We start from the raw sequence: 22,177 nt of genomic DNA on the forward strand, positions 1-22,177 counted from the left end.
CGGGACAGAGACAGTAGCTCCGCCCACTTCTCAAAGCCAATCAGCAAATTGAAAAGAATGAGTCAATTTCTCTCCCCGCGGCCGCTCTTGATTGGTCACAGCGGGGGCCTGCTGATTCCGCAGAACCTAGGCAGCCTGCTAAGCTTATTTTTCAGTTTCTCAAACTTCCTAGGGCTGGAGTGATGACCATCATCGTAAACATAATCTCACGTACCCAAGCACAGCTTTATTGTTTCGGATCATAGGACACAGAGCTTTCGCTGGGAGGGCCACCTGCTGATCTAGACCTTGGGAAGGGAATGTGCCTGGTGGCAGGGAGAAAATGCAACATTACTTCTGGAGAATTTGCCTCAGAGTGTACAAAGTTAAGCCTTTCAGACCTCCCTGCTGGCAAAGATCGTTTGCCTCAGCACCGAGGGGGGAATATAAAGGGTCTAGGCCAGCAGAGGGTATGAGCTCGTGAGAAAGACCCCAGATCTTTTGGGAAGTATAGCTGCCTCCCTGGCAAAGTCTAGATGCCAGTCTCATGCCCAGATGTCAGTGGTCTCTCTGGCTAAAGTAGGTGCTCAAATGCTTCTCTCTGGGGCTCTCCAAAAAGGAAACCGAAGACCTTCTTTGGCTGGTACGAAAGGAGGAGGTGGGAGGGCAGGGAAGAAGTTGACAAGTTCAGGGACAAGGTCTTAGCTGCAGTTGAACTCTGGAATTTCTCCTGTTTACAGATTGGAAGAAGTTGTTAGCTTCTTTTCTCAGAACGGACATGTGGATTTGGGGCAAGGAAGAAAAGCAAAAGCAAAAGCCCAAACATTCTGTAAGTAGTGGTTCTTGGCAACATTACCTTACCTTGATCTGGGAGATGCTGAGCAGAGTCAAAGGGTTATAAAACCCATGTTGTCTTGAATTCACAGAACACAGGAATGGCGTTCGAAGATCTGCAACTATACTACTTGGAAATGATCCCCAGGCTAAAGTGACCAGGGAAGTGACCCAAAAAACAAATTCTTCTTGACTTTTAAGGCAGGTGCAACTGTGGACAGCTGAGGTCCCCTTTGAAATTATCTTGCCATCGTAGGATGGGCTAGGATGACTCAACTCTTTAAATGCATGTTAAAGACTGGCTACTGTATTTACTACATTCTGGCCTCATTTTTTTTTGGTTATGATTTTGAAACTCAGAATGAACAATACCACGTGTGTGATGTTTTGGTCGCAAACATTAAAGACAGCGAATAATTATAAGCAGCTGTGGAAGTCAACATCCACTGTTAAACCCATGAACCATTCCAAATTCCTCGGTGAGATACTCTGAGATAACAAAGATTCCAGTGAGCAACTCAATCATGACATCTTTATTATACCATAGATGAATATTTGTTAAATAAAAATAGGTACAGCAAGTGTACAATAAGACCAGTAGTTCTCCTTCAGAACTCTACCCATTTTTCAGAGGAAGGAAACACTTTTCCAGAATACAATGCTCAAGAAATGTAAGCCAGATCCCGCTTGTATGAGGTATCTTAAGTAGTCAGACTCTCAAAAACAGAAAGCAGAATAATGGTGCCAAGAGCTGGGGCAGGCAGGGGGAAGGGGAAAAGAGGAGTTGTTCGGTGGGTATAGAACTTCAGAATTACAAGATGAGAAAGTTCCGGGGGTCTGTTTCACAACATGCATGGAGTTAACACTGCTGTACCATATGCTTAAAAATGGTTAAGATGGTACATTTTACCTGATGTGTTTTTTACCACAATAAAAAAAATAAGATTGAAATGGATTAGGAAAGTAAGGGGTGTTGTAAAAAGTCATTTAACAAGCATTTGATTTTAGACCATTGGACCTGCAGAAATACTTTGATTTGTTAGATTCAAGGTGAGGTGACAGAGCAATGAAGTCTGCAGCAGTTAAATGTCTGTTGATGTCTCTTGAGTGACATTGGAGATAGCTGTGAGGATGCCAACGATGGAGGAAACTTAGAAAGTTTTTAGATCCTGGGCCAGGCACGGTGGCTCACGCCTGTAATCCTAGCATTTTGGGAGGCTGAGGCAGGTGGACCACTTGAGGTCAGGAGTTTGAGACCAGCCTGGCCAACATGGTGAAACCCCATCTCTGCTAAAAATACAAAAAAATTAGCAGGGCATGGTGACGTGTGCCTGTGGTCCCAGCTACTTGGGAGGCTGAGGTGGGAGAATCGTTTGAACACTGTAGGCGGAGGTGCCACTGCACTCCAGCCTGGGTGACAGAGCGAGACTGTCCCAAAAACAAACAAACAAAAACAAAACAAAAAAACCCACAAAGTTTTTAGATCCTAAAATTTGTCAGCAGAAATGGTTACATAAGTCATGGGCAAGTTTCCACCACAAACATCACACTCCCATATTATTCTAATAGTAATTATAACCAAATGTGACCCCTTCGTGACTGTAGTTGTATAGAGTGTGGCACTAATGAGGCAAAATAGGAGACCCTGTTTGTCTGTCTAGTCTACATTTCTACTACTCCTTGGGCAAAGAATAGGGTTTTTTGGCTGCTGGTGGTGATCATAATATTTGATTCTGCATGTCAGTGAAATCATTGTCATAAAACTCTCTGTGGGTAAACAATGATCTGCATTCAGATTAAAATAGTTTTTAAGACTCTAGTTACTGAAAATGAGTCTTCATTTGTCTTTAAAAAGGTCATGTCCTTCTTTTTTCTATTTTTTTTTCAGTCATTGATTGCCACAAAAATTCAAGCCCCAATTTGTGTTTAATTTTTTTGTTGCTGGGTGAATGTTCCTGGGAACCATCTTCCCATTCATGGATTTCTTACTACTGGGAGCAGCCATCTACATAACATGGTGGTCAGGGACTACAAGGGTGGGCCTTTCCATCTGATGATTCTGAGTACAAGAAAGCTTTCAGATCCATTGTCAAGGGAGTGGAGCCTCGGGGCGGGATACAAGACTGACTATCAGGGTATTGCACAGTGTCTAGGGACTGAGGCCATTGCTAATCCACTCCCCATCTGACATCTAGGAAAAGTACAAACTGTGAAGATAGGCTACCATGTTTATCTGCCTCTGGCCGATCCCAACGCTGTCTGTACACTGACTTGTGTTTTACTTAGACAATGATACCCAGAGAAGACTGACAGACAGTGAGTGTTAGAGTGTGGGTCAGCAGAGATAGAGCAAAAGTCAAGCAGAAGAGTCTTGGAGATGCATCAAAAAACAGATACAGAGATATTTGGAATTGGGCCCAAATATACAGCAGCAGAGATACCAACTAAAATAAAAGAAAGAAAGACAGAGACAAGCAGAGTGACCATGTCAGAGAGAATATGTACATTTAGAAAAAGAAAGATTGAACAAAAAAAGCATATATCAGAATCTGCATTTGGAGGAGGTAAAAGAGCAGAATGGTCAGGGAATGAGAAAGAGAAACTGAGACTTACTAATCTTCTGAGCCTGAGAATATCAGGATGCAAAGCTGTGTTTTTCTCTGATGATGAATACCTTCTTCCAGTGTCCTAGTATTTCTCCAAAAAGATCATGCGGCTAGCACTGCTATGCAAAGCTTATTTGCTCAAAGATTTTGAAGGAGTCCAGACCTCATCATTATCAAATGACAACTGTTAAATACCCATTTCAGAATCAAATTTAGCCCAATAAATCCTCACTCATTCAAAGATCAGACTTGTTGCAGCTTTTGCTTGCTGAGCTCAGCTGTAAACTTAGGAGAAGACAGAAAGATCTCTGAGCTAATGAGGAATCCTTATTAGGACCCAGACGCTCGACCCCTAGCAGAGGACTTCATCTATTAACTCTTATTTAACATAGAATTATAACAAACCTGGCTATCGTAGTTTGTAGGCAATGGCCAGCTAAGAAAGAACAGACTGTGAAGGGCAAGTTACATTGGTAACAAAGAAAAATATGCTCTAATAGCCTGACAGTGAGGGAGGCAGCAGGGAAACTCAGAACTGAACACAGAATGAGCAGTCTGGGACCTCTCAGGGTTGGTACAAACAGTTGAGCTGACTTCTTAGATCCAGGTGCTCTCCTTGTGGCATCTCACAGTTAAAGGATTGTAGGAACTTCATAGGTAGAAGTCTTAGAGATTATCTTATCCAACTCCTTCATTAGAATGTTTAAATGATGACATGGTCGGGCGCAATGGCTCTCGCCTATAATCCCAACACTTTGGGAGCCTGAGGCGGGTGGATCACTTGAGGCCAGAAGTTTGAGACCAGCCTGGCCAACATGGCGAAAAACTGTCTCTACTAAAAATACAAAAATTAGCCAGGTGTGGTGGTGCGCGCCTATAGTCCCAGCTACTCGGGAGGCTGAAGCAGGAGAATCGCTTGAACCCGGGAGGCAGACACTGCAGCGAGCCGAGATAGTGCCACTGCACTCCAGCCAGGATGGCAGAGCGAGACTCCATCACACACACACACACACACACACACACACACACACACACACACACACACACAAGAATGTTTGAATGATGATCTTACACTAAACAAAAGCTTAAGGTGATTTGTATATATAGTTTAAAAAGATATCGAGTCAATATCTATAAAAGGAAAGTTTTGGCATTTGAAAGGGTAGAATTCTGTCATCTGAAAATCATTTTTATTTGGAGCATTTAGTTGTCTGATGATGCTAAATTATTTTTGCATGAAGACAGACAGGCACGGGCCTACATGCCACCTTGTTCGTTGGGAGACTCTTTGTGCATTAGCTTGGTTTTTCTATTCAAAGACAAGGAATGGCTGGACTGGGCTGTGGGCCCCTTCCTGTTTCTCTTCTGTGTTATGCCAGCTTTCAGAAAAGAAGAGTTCAGACATAAAGGTCATAAAATTACTGATTTTCTAATGGATTATTCTTGGCAACTTTTGGAAAAGTCAAGAAGTATATCCTTGGCAAATAATATATTTATTTGGGTATAGCTCTAATTTCTTTATATTTACTGTAGAACCTCTGGAAAAATGTTCATTCAACCCAGCACCCTAGTCCCTTAGGACCGAAGGAATCTGTCCCCCATCTTCCTGCCATGATGTCTCTTCTAGCTCATTCCTCACTCTTTTTTAAATTTATTTTTATTTTTATTTTTGAGACAGAATCTCGCTCTGTTCCCCAGGCTGGAGTGCAGTGGCACAATCTCAGCTCACTGCAACCTCTACCTCCTGGGTTCAGCTGGTTCTCCTGCCTCAGCCTACTGAGTAGCCAGGATTACAGGTGTGCGCCACCACGTCCGGCTGATTTTTGTGATTTTAGTAGAGATGGGTTTTCACTGTGTTGCCCAGGCTGGTCTTGAACTCCTGACCTCAAATAATCCTCCTGTCTCAGCCTCCTAAAGTGCTGGGATTACAGGCGTGAGCCTCTGTGCCCGGCCTGTTCTCACTCTTGAGTGTGTGGCCACTGCTCTGGGTTGAAGCATATCAGAATTCTGCCTGCCATAGGCAAACCATTCTGCCCATGGAGGCGTCTTGAATGACCATTCCAGCCCTTTCTTCCAGCCCAGGTCACATGATGGCATGAATCAGATGTGTCTTCCAGGAAACTACAAGGAGAAAAGAGCATCGGGGTTACTGTTTGATCTCTGCTGCTCTGTGTCAGCGGTAAGAGTTTTGTTGCTGGTCTCTGTAAATGGAGTAGAGAATGAAGACTTTCTGGATTACTGTGCTGGTCCCTGCTCTGAGGTCCTGGTGTGGGCCAGTCTCTCAGGGAGGTACTCCCGGCTGTGAGGAGCGCATCAAGTCGTGCCTCAGGGCCTGGAAGAGGCTAACGAGGGACTGCGCCCAGATGTCCTTCTGATGGCCGTGGGACAGGGCTGTGCGGTAGGCTGTGTAGGCCAGGGTCAGCACTGTCCTTTCAAAGTCTTCTTTCTTGAGGATGCCAGGGTGGCTGGAGAGGCTGGCGCTGAGCCGGCGGATGTCTGGGATGCTCTTGGGGATGACGTTGTTGCAGACGGTGCGGAAGTCTGAGGCCTTCCGCAAGGAGGCCAGCTCCTCGTCCTTGATGGAGATCTGCAGGTCAGGGCTGATCTCAAGTTCGGCCAGCAGGAACTGGTGAGAAATGTGGATGTGCAAAAATATGAAGTGAGGCATTGCTGAGGACACAGTTGTTCATTATCACGCACCTTCCCTTAGGGAGGCAGCTGCCAGAAGAGCTTTGGAACTCAAGAGAGTTCCAGTTCTGACTTTCTCACTTGCTGTGTGAACTTGGACAAGTTACTTAACTTCTCTGAGCCTCACTTTCCTTCTCTGTGTAAATAATTAGTAACACCATCTACTTCACTGGGATATTGTGAGAGGTAAATAAGACAAATATGGACAAAACTAATACAGTGTCTGGTTCAAAACCAGTATTTAAGGGACTAATTATAGTTTCTAGTGTCCTGGATAAATTCCTTCTTCCCTTTCTTTTTTCCACCCAACAAAGATCATCTAAAGCATCAACTATTTCGATAATTTTAAGGCAGAAGCTGGGAGACTCTTTCTGCATTAGCTTGGTTTTTCTATTCAAAGACAAGGTGAGACTGGATTGGGCTGTGGGCCCCTTGCTGTTTCTTTTCTGTGTTAAACCAGCTTTCAAAAAGAAGGAGTTCAGACATAAAGGTCATAAAATTACTGATTTTCTGTTTTTTGTTTTTTGTTTTCTTTTTTGAGATGGAGTCTCACTCTGTCACTCAGGCTAGAATGCAGTGGTGTGATCTCAGCTCACTGCAACCTCCACCTCCTGGGTTCAAGCGATTCTCCTGTCTCAGCTTCCCAAGTAGCTGGGAATACAGGCACCTGCCACCATGCCTGGCTAGTCTTTTGTATTTTTATTAGAGATGGGGTTTCACCATGTTGGTCCGGCTGGTCTCGAACTCCTGACCTCAGATGATCCACCAGCCTCGACCTCCCAAAAGTGCTGGGATTACAGGCATGAGCCACTACCCCGAGCCAAATGACTGATTTTCTAACTGATTCTTCTTGGCAGCTCTTGGAAAAGTCAAGAAGTACATCCTTGGCAAACAATATATTTATTTGGGTATAGCTCTAGTTTCTTTATATTTACTATAGGACCTCTGGAAAAATGTTCAGAGTTTGAAGGATGCAGAGGATTGTGCTAGGAATCAAGTGGGACACAGATATTTGTCCTCGTCTCTGACCTGCCCACTAAGCGTGGGAGCTGGGTCTGCCATGCACATCCCTGGGTAGTGCCAGGCTCACAGTAGGGATGGAATGACTCTAAATCCTCTCTCTTCTCTCTGTCTCTGTCCTCCCCTGCCCGAATTCATCCTCCATGGCACTGTCTATGATCTTTCTAAAATATAGATCTCTTCGTATGACTCCCATGTTCAAGACTAGGCAAAGACTCTGCATTTCCCAGTCTGGTTCCCAAGGCAGGATTTGAAATCTCTCCCCCTGGCTTAACTGCATGGCTACAGCAAGTTCTCTCTTTTTTTATTTTATTTTTTTGAGATGGAGTCTCGCTCTGTCACCCAGGCTGGAGTACGGTGGTGCGATCTGAGATCACTGCAACCTCCACCTCCCGGGTTCAAGTGATTCTCCTGCCTCAGCCTCCCAAGTAGCTGGGATTACAGGTGCATGCCAGCATGGCCAGCTAATTTTTGTATTTTTGGTAGAGATGAGGTTTCACCATGTTGGCCAGGCTGGTCTTGAACTCCTGACCTCAGGTGATCCACCTGCCTCGGCCTCCCAAAGTGCTGGGATTACAAGCATGAGCCGCCGCACCTGGCCTGGCTGTCTCTTTCTTTTCTTTTTTTTTTTTTCTTTTTGAGATGGAGTCTTGCTCTATTGTCCAGGCTGGAGTGCAGTGGCGTGATCTCGGCTCACTGCAACCTCCACCTCCCGGGTTCCAGTGATTCTCCTGCCTCAGCCTCCTGAGTGGCTGGGATTACAGGCACGTGCCACCATGCCCAGCTAATTTTTGTATTTTTAGTAGAGATGGGGTTTCACCGTGTTGGCCAGGCTGGTCTTGAACACCTGACCTTGTGATCCGCCCGCCTTGGCCTTCCAAAGTGCTGGGATTACAGGCGTAAGCCACCGCGCCCAGCCCCCAACCAGCTGTCTCTTTCTTAACCAGACAGTCCTAGTGCATGGAGTCAGAGGATGTCAAAGCTGGAGGGGAATTTTGGACAGCCTAGTTGAATTCTCTCATTTAACAGTTGAGGAGAGTCAGGCCCAGAGAGAAACAGTGGCTTATGCAAGGTGGCACAGCGGACGGGAGATAGAGCCAGGACTAAAGCTCAGATCTTGAGCCTGGGATCATAACACTGAACCAATCTGGGCAGCCTCGGGAAATTGACCCTGTGGTTTGGAGGAGGAGTGGGGTCTCAGTGATGCAAGATGAGAGGTAGTGAAAGACAGCCTGCAGGGTGGTCTGTGGCTTCCAGAAACCCAGCTAGGCTGGCAGCTCAGCCAGACAGCATTGCCATCTTAGCATGCAGGGCCTTGGAGACACGGCTGCACCCAGACAATGGCTTGGCATTTCCTGGCAAGTCCTGCCTCAAGGCCTTTGCTTGGGAATATTGCCATACTCTGGTGCCTGGGTGCCAGGAGTGATGCCTATAGGCCAAACCTAATCTTTAGTTTAAACTGAACTGAACTCCTAATGCCATCATTGTCTGTTATAGCATGTGGGAAAGACAGGAGGCATGAGGAATACTTTATGAATGAGTAGGTTCTATGACCTCTACAAATTAGGCTATTCCCTACCACAGCAGGGGTCACTCATGGTCAGGGGCTGAGGGGTCACTTCTCCTTTTCCAAAAAAGATAGAGAAAGTGCAGAGTCTTTTGGGTGACTTGGATTGAGCATGTTCCCCTCTGCCTACCTCGTAGAGCAGCTCCACCTCCTCCAGGGAGGTCTGCAGGACTGGGTTCAATGGCAGTGATGAGGACCTCTTTGGCCGGTGGGCGGCAGGGAAGAGCACAGCTGAAAGAAAGAAAACAGTGAGTTCCTGGCTGCTGTGTGCGCCCAGACCTTCTCCCTCTGATCCACCTTGAAGGTAGTCAAGGAGTCTTAAAAACGGACTGACTTGGCCAGGCACGGTGGCTCATGCCTCTAATTCCAGCCCTTTGGGAGGCCGAGGCGGGCGGATCACCTGAAGTCAGGAGTTCGAAACCAGCCTGGCCAACATGGTGCAACCCCATCTCTACTAAAATTACAAAAAACAGCCGGGCATGGTGGCGGGTGCCTGTAATTGCAGCTACATGGAAGGCTGAGGCAGGAGAATAGTTTTAACTCAGGAGGTGGAGGTTGCAGTGAGCCGAGACTGCGCCATTGCACTCCAGCCTGGGCAACAGAGCGAGACTCCATGTCAAAAAAAAAAAAAAAAAAAAAAGAAAGAAAAAAAAAAGGACTGACTGGAAAGTGGTGGTGGACACAGAGTGAGGAGAGAGGTGACATACTCCCCTGGTGTGGCCCAGAAAGCTCTCAGTCATATCAGACCAGTGGCTTAAAAACTGGCTGCTCATCAGAACCATCTGAGAAAACGAGAAAAGAAAAGAAAAAGAAAAAGAAAAAGGAAGAACCATCTGAGAAAGTTTTGCAAAATCTATATGCCTGGGGATATGCATGCCTTAGGAAATTTATATTAAACCAAAGCAAAATAAAGCAAAGTAGAAATGAGTGAAAACAAAAAGCCCCAAAGTCAGTAAGTGAGTTCCCTGAAAACACTGTTCCCTAATAGCACTGCACGCATCTTAGCGCGTTATCAGTATGAAGTGCTGGTTTATGTTGATTCACTGCCTGTTTTAATCAGAAGATCAGGATTCTGGCTGCCTCATGCATCCAAAATATAGCTGCCAAGAATCTGAACACACATGACAAAATAAAGGAAGAGAGATGCACAAGACCCAGGCCCTTGGATCTAGGGCATCATTGTGGGGTCAAACTCAGAGCTTTCCCCAAGGGCTGCCTGATTTTTGTTTGTTTGTTTGTTTGAGATGGAGTCTTGCTCTGTTGCCCAGGCTGGAGTGCAGTGGCACGATCTTGGCTCACTGCAACCTCTGCCCACTGTGGGTTCAAGTGATTCTCCTGCCTCAGCCTCTCAAGTAGCTGGGATTACAGATGTGTGCCACCACGCTCGGCTAATTGTTGCATTTTTAGTAGAGACAGGATTTCACCATGTTGGCCAGGCTGGTCTTGAACTCCTGACCTCAAGTGATCTGCCTGCCTCAGCCTCCCAAAGTGCTGGGACTATAAGCATGAGCTACCGAGCCCAGCCAAGCCTGGCTGATTTAGGAATGTATTTAGTATAAAGTCAGTGACTTGACAATGCTGTTCCAGTGGTTGCATGTAGAAATGGTAACTGGAGGAAGATGAATTGCTATTAGAGGTACACAGGACAGCAAGAATTAGGCACTAACTGGGGACAAGTGAAGGAGAAGACAGAACATCAGAGGGTATAGGAATGATCATTATAAATTGCAGTTCTCCAGGACCACGTCAGGCTAGGAGCAAATAGCTCTGGTCACCTCCACAGCCCCTCTGGGGAGCAGGCACTGTGCAGAAATGATCGGCAAGCCCTCTGCCAGCTGATAGAAAAAGGTACAGCTTCTTTAAGACACTTAATTATGATCTACCAGAAAACTGTGGAAATAATGGTAAAAATTGGAGACTACAAGGTGTTGGCACCCCCTGAAGTTGTACAGGCATATTTTGCTTAATCATAAATGGCAGCTCTGCTAGTTGATAATAGTGCCCTTGAGCCATTGAGAAAAGGTCAAATTATGTTCAGTGTACGCAGTTAAAGAAGGCAGGCTGGGCGCTGTGGCTCATGCCTAAAATCCCAGCACTTTGGGAGGCTGAGGTGGGCAGATCACATGAGGCCAGGAGTTTGAGACCAGCCTGGTCAACATGGTGAAACCCCATCTCTACTAAAAATACAAAAGTTAGCTGGGCATGATGGTGCGTGCCTGTAATCCCAGCTACTTGGGAGGCTGAGGCAGGAGAATTGCTTGAACCCGGGAGGTGGAGCTTGCAGTGAACCGAGATCGTGCCACACTGCACTCCAGCCTGGCGACAGAGTGAGACTGCATCTCAAAAAAAAAAAAAAAAAATGCTGGGCGCGGTGGCTCACACCTGTAATCCCAGCACTTTGGGAGGCTGAGGTGGGTGGATCACGAGGTCAGGAGATCGAGACCATCCTGGGTAACATGGTGAAACCCCATCTCTACTAAAAAAATACAAAAAATTAGCCGGGTGTGGTGGCAGGCGCCCGTAGTCCCAGCTACTTGGGAGGCTGAGGCAGGAGAATGGCGTGAACCTGGGAGGCGGAGCTTGCAGTGAGCCAAGATCGCGCCACTGCACTACAGCCTGGGTGACAGGGTGAGACTCTGTCTCAAAAACAAAAACAAAAAAAGGCAGGGAAGGATGGAAATCATTTTAGAAGGATTGCCATCAGAAGTGATTAAAAAAAAAAAAAAAGGAAACATCTTTAACTTAGAGGAACTTTCCTGAAAAGCTCACTGGTAGGAATCTCCCATGTCCCAGAAAATCCTGATGGGCTTATTATAGTATTGCTGTAAACTGCTTTCTCAGTAACTTATTTATGATCGATACCACAAGTTCCTCAAGGGCTTTGATACATACAGTTTTATATTCTGTACCCGTGGCAGAGCCTGGCAGGCTTCCGGGGTGTGCGCTGGGCATAGCTGTTGATGACCAAATCCCTGCACTAATGGTCGCCTCGGCCAGCAGAGTGACGAGCTCTGTTTCGCCAGACCATGCTCAGGGAAGGAGCCATGAGCTCCATGGCAGTATTCCCTAGCCAGGTATTTCAGCAGAGTTTATACTCTTTGCCAAAAAAGAGCCAGTTTCCCCCAGAATCATAGATTTTAGGGCTTGAGGAAGCCTTTGCCCCTGTTTGTCCATTGCCAATGCCTGTAGTGTCAGGTGGAACACAGGAGAGTGAGGTGTCTGTGACTCCACTAGTTAACACTGTTAGAGTCACCAAAGCGGTTTCTTGGACCTGGCTCCAGAGTTCTGATTTAATTGAACCAGAGGGCAATGAACACATTACGATTTTGTAAAGCTTCCTAAGTGCTTCTAATGACAGCCGAGGTTGAGAACCACTGTCCTAGTCAGAGTAAGCTTGACCTGAAATTGTGTGGAAGACGCTGACCCTAGGCTGTGTGGCCGCTCTTTGTTTAGACCGGTGGTTCCCAGCCTTGACTAGACATTCGATTCATCCGGGCACTTTTAGAAACCCAAATGCCCAAGACCACACTCCAGGCCAATTTGTGGGCATCTCTGGGAGTGAAATGTAGGCACTGGGACTTTTTCCAGCTCCCAGGCTCCAGTTGGCAGCCAGATCTGTGTTATCCATATCACAGACAGGCCGATGGTGTCCTTCTACCATAAAACAATTCAGAGCTCTTGCCTATCTGATGGGGCCTTACAAGGTCATCTGAAGAGACCAAGGTCATCATGTTCTTGGAGGTAAGGAGTGCAGGCACAAAGAGGGCATGGACTTTGTCTCTGTTTTCTCCTTGGTATGAGATGAGTTGGTCCTAGGTCAAGGTGTGGCCTGTTTCTTTCTTTGTGCTCTTCTTTTCTTCCCACCAGGAAGAAAGGAGGTGGATGAAACCCCCTTCTTAGGATAGGATCTAAGAGCGACTCTACTTCTTTAATTCTGCTAGAATTTATCTCTTATTGCCAAATTAAAGGTATTATTCCCTTAAAAAAAAACAAAACAAAACAAAACAAAAAAAAAAACCTCAGTCCCAGCAGAGGAAGGCAATAGGGAGGGAATGTCAGGGCGTGGAGCCCTTTCTGCTCCCTGTAATCACAGCCGCTGCCTGCCTGGAAGTTATTTATGATCTTAGACCTGGACTTTCTTCGCTCAGTTGTTGCCCTGTGAACAGCAACATGTCTTTAACATGCTCACCCCAGAGGTACCCCTAGTTCTCAAAGAGCCAAGAAGAAAATACTTCCTGATTCAAAGCTGAGCTTGATAATGGAAACTTTGTCATTTCCAATAGCTCTTGGTCTCCTACTGAATAGTAATATAGTTTGATGGAGACTTAGAAATAGCTTCAGACAATGGGAATGGCTATTGCTTTAAAATGTAAGTGTGTACCAAAAATTAACTGGGTGTGGTGGCAGGCACCTACAGGGCACCTGTAGTCCCAGCTACTCAGGAGGCTGAGGCAGGAGAATGGCGTGAACCCGGGAGGCGGAGGTTGCAGTGAGCCGAGATCATGCCACTTCACTCCAGCCTGGGTGACAGACTGAGACTCTGTCTCAAAAAAAAAAAAAAAATGTAAGTGTGTACCAGGTGTGGCAGCTCACACTTATAATCTCAGGACTTTGGGAAGCTGAGGCGGGTGGATAACTTGAACCCAGGAATTTGAGACCAGTCTGGGCAACATAGTGAGACCCATCTCTACTAAAAATAAAAAAATTTAGCTGGGCATGGTGGCACACGCTTGTGGTCCCAGCTACTTGGGAGGCTGAGGCAGGAGGATCAACTGGGCCTGGGAGGTCAAGGCTGTAGTGAGCTGTGATCAGCCACTGTACTCTAGCCTGGGCGATAGAGTGAGACCCTGTCTCAAAAAAAAAAAAAGAAAAGCCAAGCAAATGGGAGAAAGCATTTCCAATGAATGTCACTGATAAGGATCAATATCTAGAAGCTAAAAAAGAGGTCCTACCAATCCATTTAAAAAGTAAAAAATTAGAATGTATGTGTGGGAAGCACAGGAATCTTAAAGATGGGTCTCTCTTCCTCCCTTCCTCACCCCCACCCCTGCACTGGTCCACCAGGCCCAGCAGTGCTGCCCCTCACATTTCTGTGGCTGCTTTGACCTTGTGCATTGGGCAGGGGTAGGGACGGCTGCTGGAGTGCAGCCAGCTCTAGGGCAGACATCTCAGTGGCTCGGCAGCCACCCAGATCTGACTCCCTGTGTGAGGCAAGATCTAGAGAGAATAAACTTATCTCCACTGGAGAGGCTGGAGGTGGTGGGTGAGAAATAGCTCTATCTGATCAATGTCAAAATACAGAGGTACAATTTCACAATGTACAGTCACTCCAAGATGTTCTTGTCCATAATGATGAAGGCTGGACCCCACCGGAAATGCTGATGGCTGAAACAAGGGCTGGCAAACTCCAAGATGTATATGTGCAAAGCTGGAAACTAGACTTGCTCCTACATTTTAGAAAATCTTGTTTCCCCAGGAAGCCTTTCCTGAGACTCAATGGTCAGCTTGCATGGAAGTTGGCTGCCCAGGCTGGCCGTGGGGTGGGGAAACCAAGCACTGCTCAGCTCCTCCTCGATTCCCTGGACAAATGAGCATCTAGGACACATGGGACCGACCAGCATAGAACAAGTGACTCACTTGCTAAAGGTCATGCCACATGGACTAAGTTAGTCCAGGAGCTGGATCCAGAGTTCATGATTCATGTGTTATAGCGTGTTCTGTCCATGTCTTCTGCTGAGAGATACCTCTGGAGCTCAGGCTAAAGCTCTTAACATGTGGAGCTCAGATATAATAATGTAAGAGCTCGGGGCACCCACTGTGTGCCTTGTGCTGTCCATAAGTACCTTGTGAGGTAAATATGAACTTTCCATTTTATAGATGAAGAAACTTGGAGGTTAAGAAAATTGCCCTAGGCCATCCAATTTATTTGAGGTAGGGCTGGGATTAAAATCCAGATCTCCAAGGCTCCAAAACCCAATCTCACTGATAAGTGAACAATGCTCCTTTTTGTAGGTACCTCTGCCCAGAGAGTGGGCATTCTTCAGTTCTGAATAACTACAGAAAGGATAAATGGTAGTTAGTTATGAATGAATGAATGCCTATGCATTTGATAGAAAACGTATTCTTAAGTGGATCACACATACTTTTCAAAACTCTGACTTTGACTTATAATAATGTGATATGCAAGGTCAAAGGACTACTTTTAGGATCACTCTCCTGCATCGATTCTCCTTTTCTCCCTCATTGTTCCTTTTTTTTTTTTTTTTTTTTGAGACAAGAGTCTTGCTCTGTCGCCCACGCTGGAGGGCAGTGGTGCAATCTGGGTTCCCAGGTTCAAGCGATTCTTGTGCCTCAGCCTCCTGAGTAGTTGAAACTACAGGCGCCACCATGCCTGGCTAATTTTTGTATTTTATTTTATTTTTTTTAACTGGAGATGGGGTTGTTTACCATGTTGGCCAGGCTGGTCTCGAACTCCTGGCCTTAAGTGATCCTCCTGCCTCAGCCTCTGAAAGTGCTGGGATTACAGGTGTGAGTCACTGCGCCCAGCCCCTTATTGTTCCTTTGCAATCGCTTGGCAAAAGCACAGTCCAGCTCTGCCTATTGCACACCTGCCCCTCTGCACCTGAAGGTGGCTGGAGAGAAATGCTCTTTGTGATGACTCTATTTAAAATTACAACCCTCTGGACTCTGTAGCCTCTGTCCTTACTTTATTATCATCCAACAAATCACCCATTTTAAAATATAAATATATTTGTTGCCTGTTTCCCCTCACTAGAGGGTATGGGATTTTGTCTATTTTGTTCACTGTTGTATTCTCAGTGCCTAGTATCATGCCCCTTCCTGTTTGTCAAATGAATAAATAATCCCACAGGAACACATTACCTGCCCTGGTCACTAAGCTCTATTCTTTTCAAATAGAGTGCCTACAAAATCCTTCCTTTTCTAATAGGGTGAATCTAGAGTTTATTTGTGGTTCTCGGTCTTGGCTAATGATCAGAAAGTAGATGTTGACTTCTGTCTCCACCACACCCTCCCCTTATCCCTGAGGAGTCCCTGTTTGGGCCTGGACGAAGCTAGTTTTTAATTGATCTCAGCGAGTGCTGTCCCCTACCTCCCCCACACCTTAGCCCTTCAAAGCTTTCTTGCCTAGACAAACAGCCAGAGGCACTCCAATGGAGTAGCCTGCCTTTGTTTGGCAGCCCGACCTTCTCTTTGACTTTCTGTAATCTGGGTTAAAAGTCTCTTTCTTCTTCTTTCCTCCCATCCCTCCGATATGTTCAGTAGTATGGTATTCAGGCTAATCATGCTTTCCCCAGAACTGTGCATAGCATTTGTGGCAAAGAGCTTGTTGGAAAGGATTCAAGCTGCAGACCATCTCAAGCCAAACTCCAACTGTATTTTTAATGAATCAGTTGAAGCAACTCGATGGAAAGGACGGTGGGTGTGGAAAGGAAAAGCTCTCGTTTGTAAAAGATCTTTTGCCAGATCTGACTGATGTCATTTACTTTTTGACTCCTGGGCCAGCCCTCTGGAAACAGAGTGCTATTCTGAGCGAGCCAGGGTCTCGGCCCTGTGCGTGGGGGTCCTCTGGGAGAGCTCCTGAAAGGGCTCTGGCAGCCAGCTCCTCTTGGCTGGAAAGCTCCACCATGTAGGGGGGAGCTTGGGGCTGCCGGGAGCAGGTGAGTGGCCCATGGGGGATGGAGAAATATGCAGAGCGGATGAATGAGGACGGGGCACTCTGCCAGCAGATGGACCTGGGGGATCAAATTCAACTCTGCCCTTGCAGCTGGGGGAGCTGGGTCACTTCACTTCTTGCCTCACTCTCCAATTTTCTAACCTGTAAATGGTTAGGATAGCACCTGCCTCACAGAGTTACTATGGAGAGAGGAGATGGCTCTGTATGGGGCACTTGGGCAGTGAATACTTAAAACAATTTTCTTTTTGGATACAGGGTCTTGCTCCATCATCCAGGCTGGAGTGAAGTGGCGCAATCATAGCTCTCTGCATCGTTGACCTCCTGGGCCTAAGTGATCCTACCACCTTGATCTCCTTGCCTTAAGTGATCCTACCACCTTAACCTTCTGAGTAGCTGGGACTACAGGCATGTGCTGCTACACCCAGCTAATTTTTTTTTTAACTTTCCCCTGAGTCACTGGAATTATAGGCGTGCACCACCGTGCCCGGCAGTCAGTGAGTACTTACTGAGTACTGACCACAGGCCTTTCCCTCATGGAACATTCATGACTGAGGACACACACAACCCTTAAATGGACACCTGAAAATGACATAAGGTCCACCAAAAAATGGAAGGGCTGCTCTATTAAACTACTTAAAAAATAACTTGTATGTATTCAACAAAAGCATAGCTATTCATATCCTTAATAGGTGCATATTTCATTCATATCCTTAATAGGTGCATAATTCTTTCTCAAGTCTGGCTAGTCCTCCCCCTTCCAGTGGTGCCCTGGCAGGACCTGGTATGTGCTGGGACGTGGGCCACCTGTGTGTGTGTGTGTGTGTTTCTGTGTGTGTGTATGTGTGTGTGTGTGTAGATGTGGCTTTCCTGGCTTGGCCACAGGTGAGTCATTTGGTCTTCATCAAACTGGTGGGGCTGGAATGGGTGATCCTGGATCCTGGCATGGAAAGCTGCCTCCCAGGGTGGAATCCTAGAGAGCGCTTAGGGAAAGGCTGGGAGGATGGTAGGAAAAAGACAGTGCTAACAACAAGGCGCATATTGCCTGTGGGTTTACATCTACATTTACATTTTGGAGCAGGAGGGTGGGAGGATGGACACGGGGTAGTGGTGGGGCTGGGGGCCAAAGGGCAGGGGGTGGAAGAGGAAAAGCTCTGGAAGAGATTGCCCTAAGACTGTTTCCAAAGGGAGTACTTTGAATTGAGGCTGGAGGTAGGGTGGGGGTAAGGATGAAGGTGAAATGAATAATACATTTGGAAAAACTTACTCATTTGGGTGTGACTCCTATTCAGTCTTGAAAAAAAAGATGGCAAGAATTGTGTATTTCTTTTATAATTAGAAAAAAATGTTAAAAATGAAAAAAAAATCAACTACGCGGAAGACATTTGATGATGGTTGGAGGGACTCTGTATCATTTGTTGACTCAGCGCTGACTTGAGCCATTAATCTAGCACGTCACATCCGCTGCCTCATAGTGACCTCGGTTTGGCTGGCTTTGAGTCAGTGGATTGTGAACTCACTGTGGAAAGACCTTCCCCAATGCGGAAGGACATGGCCCGGAGAAGTTGCTCCCAGAATGTTGCTGTAGATTCCCCTGTTAAGAGCCTTAAACTTCCTTTAATGAAAAATTTTTATTTTTCAAAAACTGGTAGGCAATAGCTAATATTTATATTGTGCTTTGTCATTTACAAAGTATTTTCATCTATATTTTTGAATATGACCCTCACAGTAATAGCATGAGGGTTTTATTGATGTGATGGATGTTAATGTCACCCGTTAGTGAACTAAAGCTCAGAGAGGTTAAGAGACTTGTCTGAGATCACATTGCCAAATAGAGATGGAACTTAAACCAGGACCCTTGCAGAGTAGCTCATGATGTGGCTATCGTGTTTACAAACCATATTGCAAGTCAAATAATCCCTTTTGGCTTTGTAATAGCCTGTGCCTTAGGAAGAGTGGGCACTGTTACCCTGTTTAATAAGCAAATCCCCAGTGTGACAAAGAGGGGAGTGACAGAACCCAACTCCAAGATCTCTTTGCTTTTTACTTCCAAGTGCTACCTCAAAGTTTGTGCACACAATGAAAAGGGAGGTGTGAAAACAGGGTGACTACAGTCAATAACAATTTAATTGTACATTTAAAAAGAACTAAAAGAGGGCCAGGCACTATGGCTCATGCCTATAATCCCAGAACTTTGGGAGGCTGAGGTGGGCAGATCACTTGAGGTCAGGAGTTTGAGAGCAGCCTGGCCAACATGGTGAAACCCCATCTCTACTAAAAATACAAAAATTAGCCAGGCGTGGTGGTGCGCACCTGTAACTCCAGCTACTCAGGAGACTGAGGCACGAGAATCGCTTGAACCTGGGAGGCGGAGGTTGCAGTGAACCAAGATTGCACCCCTGCATTCCAGCCTGGGCAACAGAGTGAGACTCCGTCTCAAAAATAAATAAATAAGTAAATAAATAACAAATAAAAGTAACTAAAAGGGTATCACTGGATTGTTTGTAACACAAAGGCTAAATGCTTGAGGGGATGGATACCCCATCTTCCATGATGTGACGTGCCTGTATCAAAACATCTCATAGGCCCCATAAATATGTATACCTACTATGTGCCCACAGAAATTAAAAATTAAAAATTAAAAAAAGAAAAGGGAGGGGTGTACGTGTGTATGTGCATGTGTATGCAAGGTTGTTATGAGAAAAATGAAGAATGCTGTATTATTTGTTTCTGGGCAACGATCACTTCACAGCTCAGCTCAAAAGACTTATATCCCTGTTAGAGATGTAAGTCCCTAATGTCACGTTTAACCATGAGGAAATAAAACCCAGCATAAGTACAGTAGCTTTTGCCTCCCTCCCATTTCAGATCCTTCTCTCGCGCTGCTCTATCCCCACTCCGGCCACTCCTTCCTTCCCTGACACTGTCCTTGAGAAGCAAGCAGGAGGCGCATCCATGCCACCATGCCAGTTGCCTTCCAATTTTGCATCTCTAGAAACACCTACTGGCCTGACTTGAAGGAGCCTGTTCTTCTTGCGGTTCTTTCTAGGAGAGTGAACTCAGTTGACTTTAGGCAGTGGAAAGATTTCCGTTCATATTGGTGAAGAGTGGGCAGTGCCGTGGGTCCCTCCTTTCCTAACAGTGATAAACTCTGGCTCGAGGTGCTCCCAGTGTCTACCAAGCAGAGCCACTCCCAGGGAAATGGAGAAAAGATGCCATCCAGCTAGGAGGAACTACATCCTGAGGGGGAGGAAGTCAGTGATAAGAGAACAGCCTTTGCTGGGGCCCCTTCCTTTGTGAGGAGGTGGCGGAGCTGGTGGGTGCAGTGGAGGTTGAAGGGTTGCTCTCCTCACCTGCCCACCTCTGGCTGCAGAGATGCATCCCCTCCCGGTGAGGAGGCAACGTTCTGCAGAGCTTCTGCTCTGGTTCCCCCAGGGAGCAGGCCTTTGGCATCCCAGTGCCCATCACTCCATCATTTTAGCAGCAGGTCTCAGCACCTGCTCTCCAGACGGTCTGGCCCAACTGCTGCAGGTGGTGGGGGCAGTCGAAGAAATGAGTTCTACTTTCTATGAAGCAGAAATGAGTTCTCTCTGGGATGCCAGAAAGGGGTACTCTCTGGGTTCTCCACCTCAACCTAATTCCCTCAGGAGCTTTGATTTTTTCCAGTGTCATTTCCCCATCACCCTCTAAGAAGGGGGAACACGTCAAGAAGCATCAAGGAATTGACAGAGATTAGACAAAAGGAGAGTGCGGGGCTTCTAATGTCCTTCCCTCCAAATTTTGAATTGCATTGAAGAAAGTATAATGAGCATCAAACAAACAAATGAATAAAAAGCAACTCACCCCTGCTCCACCTGTGGCACATAGAAGCCTCAGCATTGTAATACAACAGCAGAAGCAGCAACATCTTCCAATGCATCTTGTCCTTCAAAAGGTGAAAAATCGACCCTCAAGCCCAGTGGAACCCCAGTAGCTGCAGGTATGCCCGTGCCGTTCTTCCCAGTGAGATGATGGAGTGCTTCCCTCCCTTCCTTTTGCAGACGTGCAGAAATGCCTACTCTGCCTCAGAAGGCTGGAGGCTGAAGGCTGCGTCCTGGGTGGGACAGGAGTCGGTACCTCTCTTCATTTGACGCTCTCTGGGATTGGGGAACTGGCCTTCCACAGAGAGACTCTGTTTTTGAGCACATCTGGAGTGACTCACGGGGCATGTGATCTCCTTGGCAGTGGGGCGGATAAATATAATTTCTGTACTTGAGTTCCATGTGTTGGATGCACCCACTGGAATTTTTCTTTAACAAACAGACCCGCGGAACTTGTTAGAGAGCCCGGCGAAGAGTTGGCTGCTCTCCCCGTCCACACATACGATACCAGAGCCAGGGGCGAGGGCTGGAGGCAGAGTTGGGAGCCTGCCTGGCAGACACCAGGGCTGGTTGAGCCTAAGTTGCCTTCAGGACAGCAAAATCATTGTGGTGCCTGGGCTGAGTGTCACTGTTGCCTGGCCCTGGAGCTAGACTAGGACATTGGCGCCTAGAGCCTGTGTCTGGTCTGCCCAGGTTCTGGGTGGGTGGGGAGTTGGCAGGTTGTGACCGAGCCGAAGTGGAGAGGTGACATGGTGCATCGGTATTGTCTGTGTGAACGTGCGTAGGTAATGATCCAGGAGCCCACGGGGACCCCCAACTCACATTGGTGATGCTCCCATTTCTGGGCTGTGCCTAGACCTGGGGCCAAGCCCCACAACTCACATTGGTGATGCTCCCATTTCTGGGCTGTGCCTAGACCTGGGGCCAAGCCACTTTGATTTTCCCAAGCAAAATGGGAGTGTTTTTCCATAGTCGTTGTAATATACTGCCATAGACACCTTAATTCTTTCCCAATCACTTCCTCAACTTCTCTGAAATGATAGGGAATGCTAAAGCTTGAAGGACACTTAAAGATTATGTCATCCTGTGGGTTTTCCAGTTTGTGGAGGTGGTGCCCAGGGTGAATGGGCTCCCCAAGAGGGCTCCTCAAAGCTCTACTCTACTGCAAAAGCTCCTCTTTTATCTGCTATAAGAAGTTGTTTGGGAGCCGGGCATGGTGGTTCACGCCTGTAATCCCAACACTTTGGGAGGCCGAAGTGGGGGAATTGCTTGAGGCCAGAAGTTCAAGACCAACCTAGAGAAAATAGACCCTGTCTCTACAAAAAATTAAAAAATTAGCTGGGCGTGGTGGCATGTGCCTGTAGTCCTAGTCACTCAGGTGGCTGAGGCAGAAGGATTGTTTAGGCCCAGGAGTTCAAGGCTGCAGTGAGCTATGATCACAACACTCTACTCCAGCCTGGGTGACAGAGTAAGAACTTTCCTCTTAAAAAAATTAAAAAAAAAACAACCAGTTTTTTTGGGGGAAAAAATACTAGACTACAACATTTGAAAACCAGTACGCTCACTAATATTAATAATAGCTATTAGGTGCTTAATTTGCTTCAGACAGCGTGCTAGGTGCCCTCCTTGCATTAACTGATTTAATGCATCCACCGAACTAGGAGGTTAGGGCACTAGCCAGCAGCACTCTCCAACAGAAATGTAACGTGAATCACAAACGTCACTTAACATTTTCTACAACTCATACTAAAAAAAAGTAAAAAGAGGCTGGGTGCAGTGGCTCACGCCTGTAATCCTAGCACTTTGGGAGGCCGAGGCAGGCGGATCACCTGAGGTCAGGAGTTCGTGACCAGCCTGGCCAACATGGCAAAACCTCGTCTCTCCTAAAAATACAAAAATTAGCCGGGCATGGTGGTGCACACCTGTAATC

General features: G+C 46.5%; 1 protein-coding gene across 2 annotated transcripts, besides 2 other annotated features; it reads right to left on the reverse strand.

Moving 5' to 3' along the window:
• Positions 1 to 1,317: 1,317 nt before the first annotated feature.
• On the reverse strand, positions 1,318 to 20,539 carry FAM180A (family with sequence similarity 180 member A). 2 transcript variants are annotated; one of them, NM_205855.4, is made up of 4 exons: positions 20,231 to 20,539; positions 8,825 to 8,925; positions 5,372 to 6,045; positions 1,318 to 2,007 (listed from the first exon to the last, which is right to left on the reverse strand). In NM_205855.4, exons 1-3 carry the CDS (start codon positions 20,304 to 20,306, stop codon positions 5,701 to 5,703), a joined length of 522 nt encoding a protein of 173 aa, NP_995327.1. In that variant the 5' UTR covers positions 20,307 to 20,539; the 3' UTR covers positions 1,318 to 2,007; positions 5,372 to 5,700. The 2 variants fall into 2 exon arrangements, with proteins under 2 accessions (NP_995327.1, NP_001356626.1); NM_001369697.2 differs by having other exon boundaries at positions 1,318 to 6,045.
• Positions 5,805 to 6,305: an enhancer, noted in NCBI's record as "H3K4me1 hESC enhancer chr7:135418827-135419327 (GRCh37/hg19 assembly coordinates)". NCBI's record gives its function as "activates a minimal SCP1, AML or CMV promoter by ChIP-STARR-seq in naive H9 embryonic stem cells {active_cell/tissue: H9 hESC(naive)}" and the evidence as "EXISTENCE:reporter gene assay evidence [ECO:0000049][PMID:30033119]".
• Positions 16,977 to 18,176: an enhancer, noted in NCBI's record as "P300/CBP strongly-dependent group 1 enhancer chr7:135429999-135431198 (GRCh37/hg19 assembly coordinates)". NCBI's record gives its function as "activates an origin of replication core promoter dependent on BRD2, BRD4, P300/CBP, MED14 and CDK7 cofactors, with strong dependence on P300/CBP, by STARR-seq in HCT116 cells {active_cell/tissue: HCT116}" and the evidence as "EXISTENCE:reporter gene assay evidence [ECO:0000049][PMID:35650434]".
• Positions 20,540 to 22,177: the final 1,638 nt, after the last annotated feature.

The sequence above is a fragment of the Homo sapiens genome, chromosome 7, assembly GCF_000001405.40.
Source record: "Homo sapiens chromosome 7, GRCh38.p14 Primary Assembly".
Taxonomy (NCBI): Eukaryota; Metazoa; Chordata; class Mammalia; order Primates; family Hominidae; genus Homo; species Homo sapiens.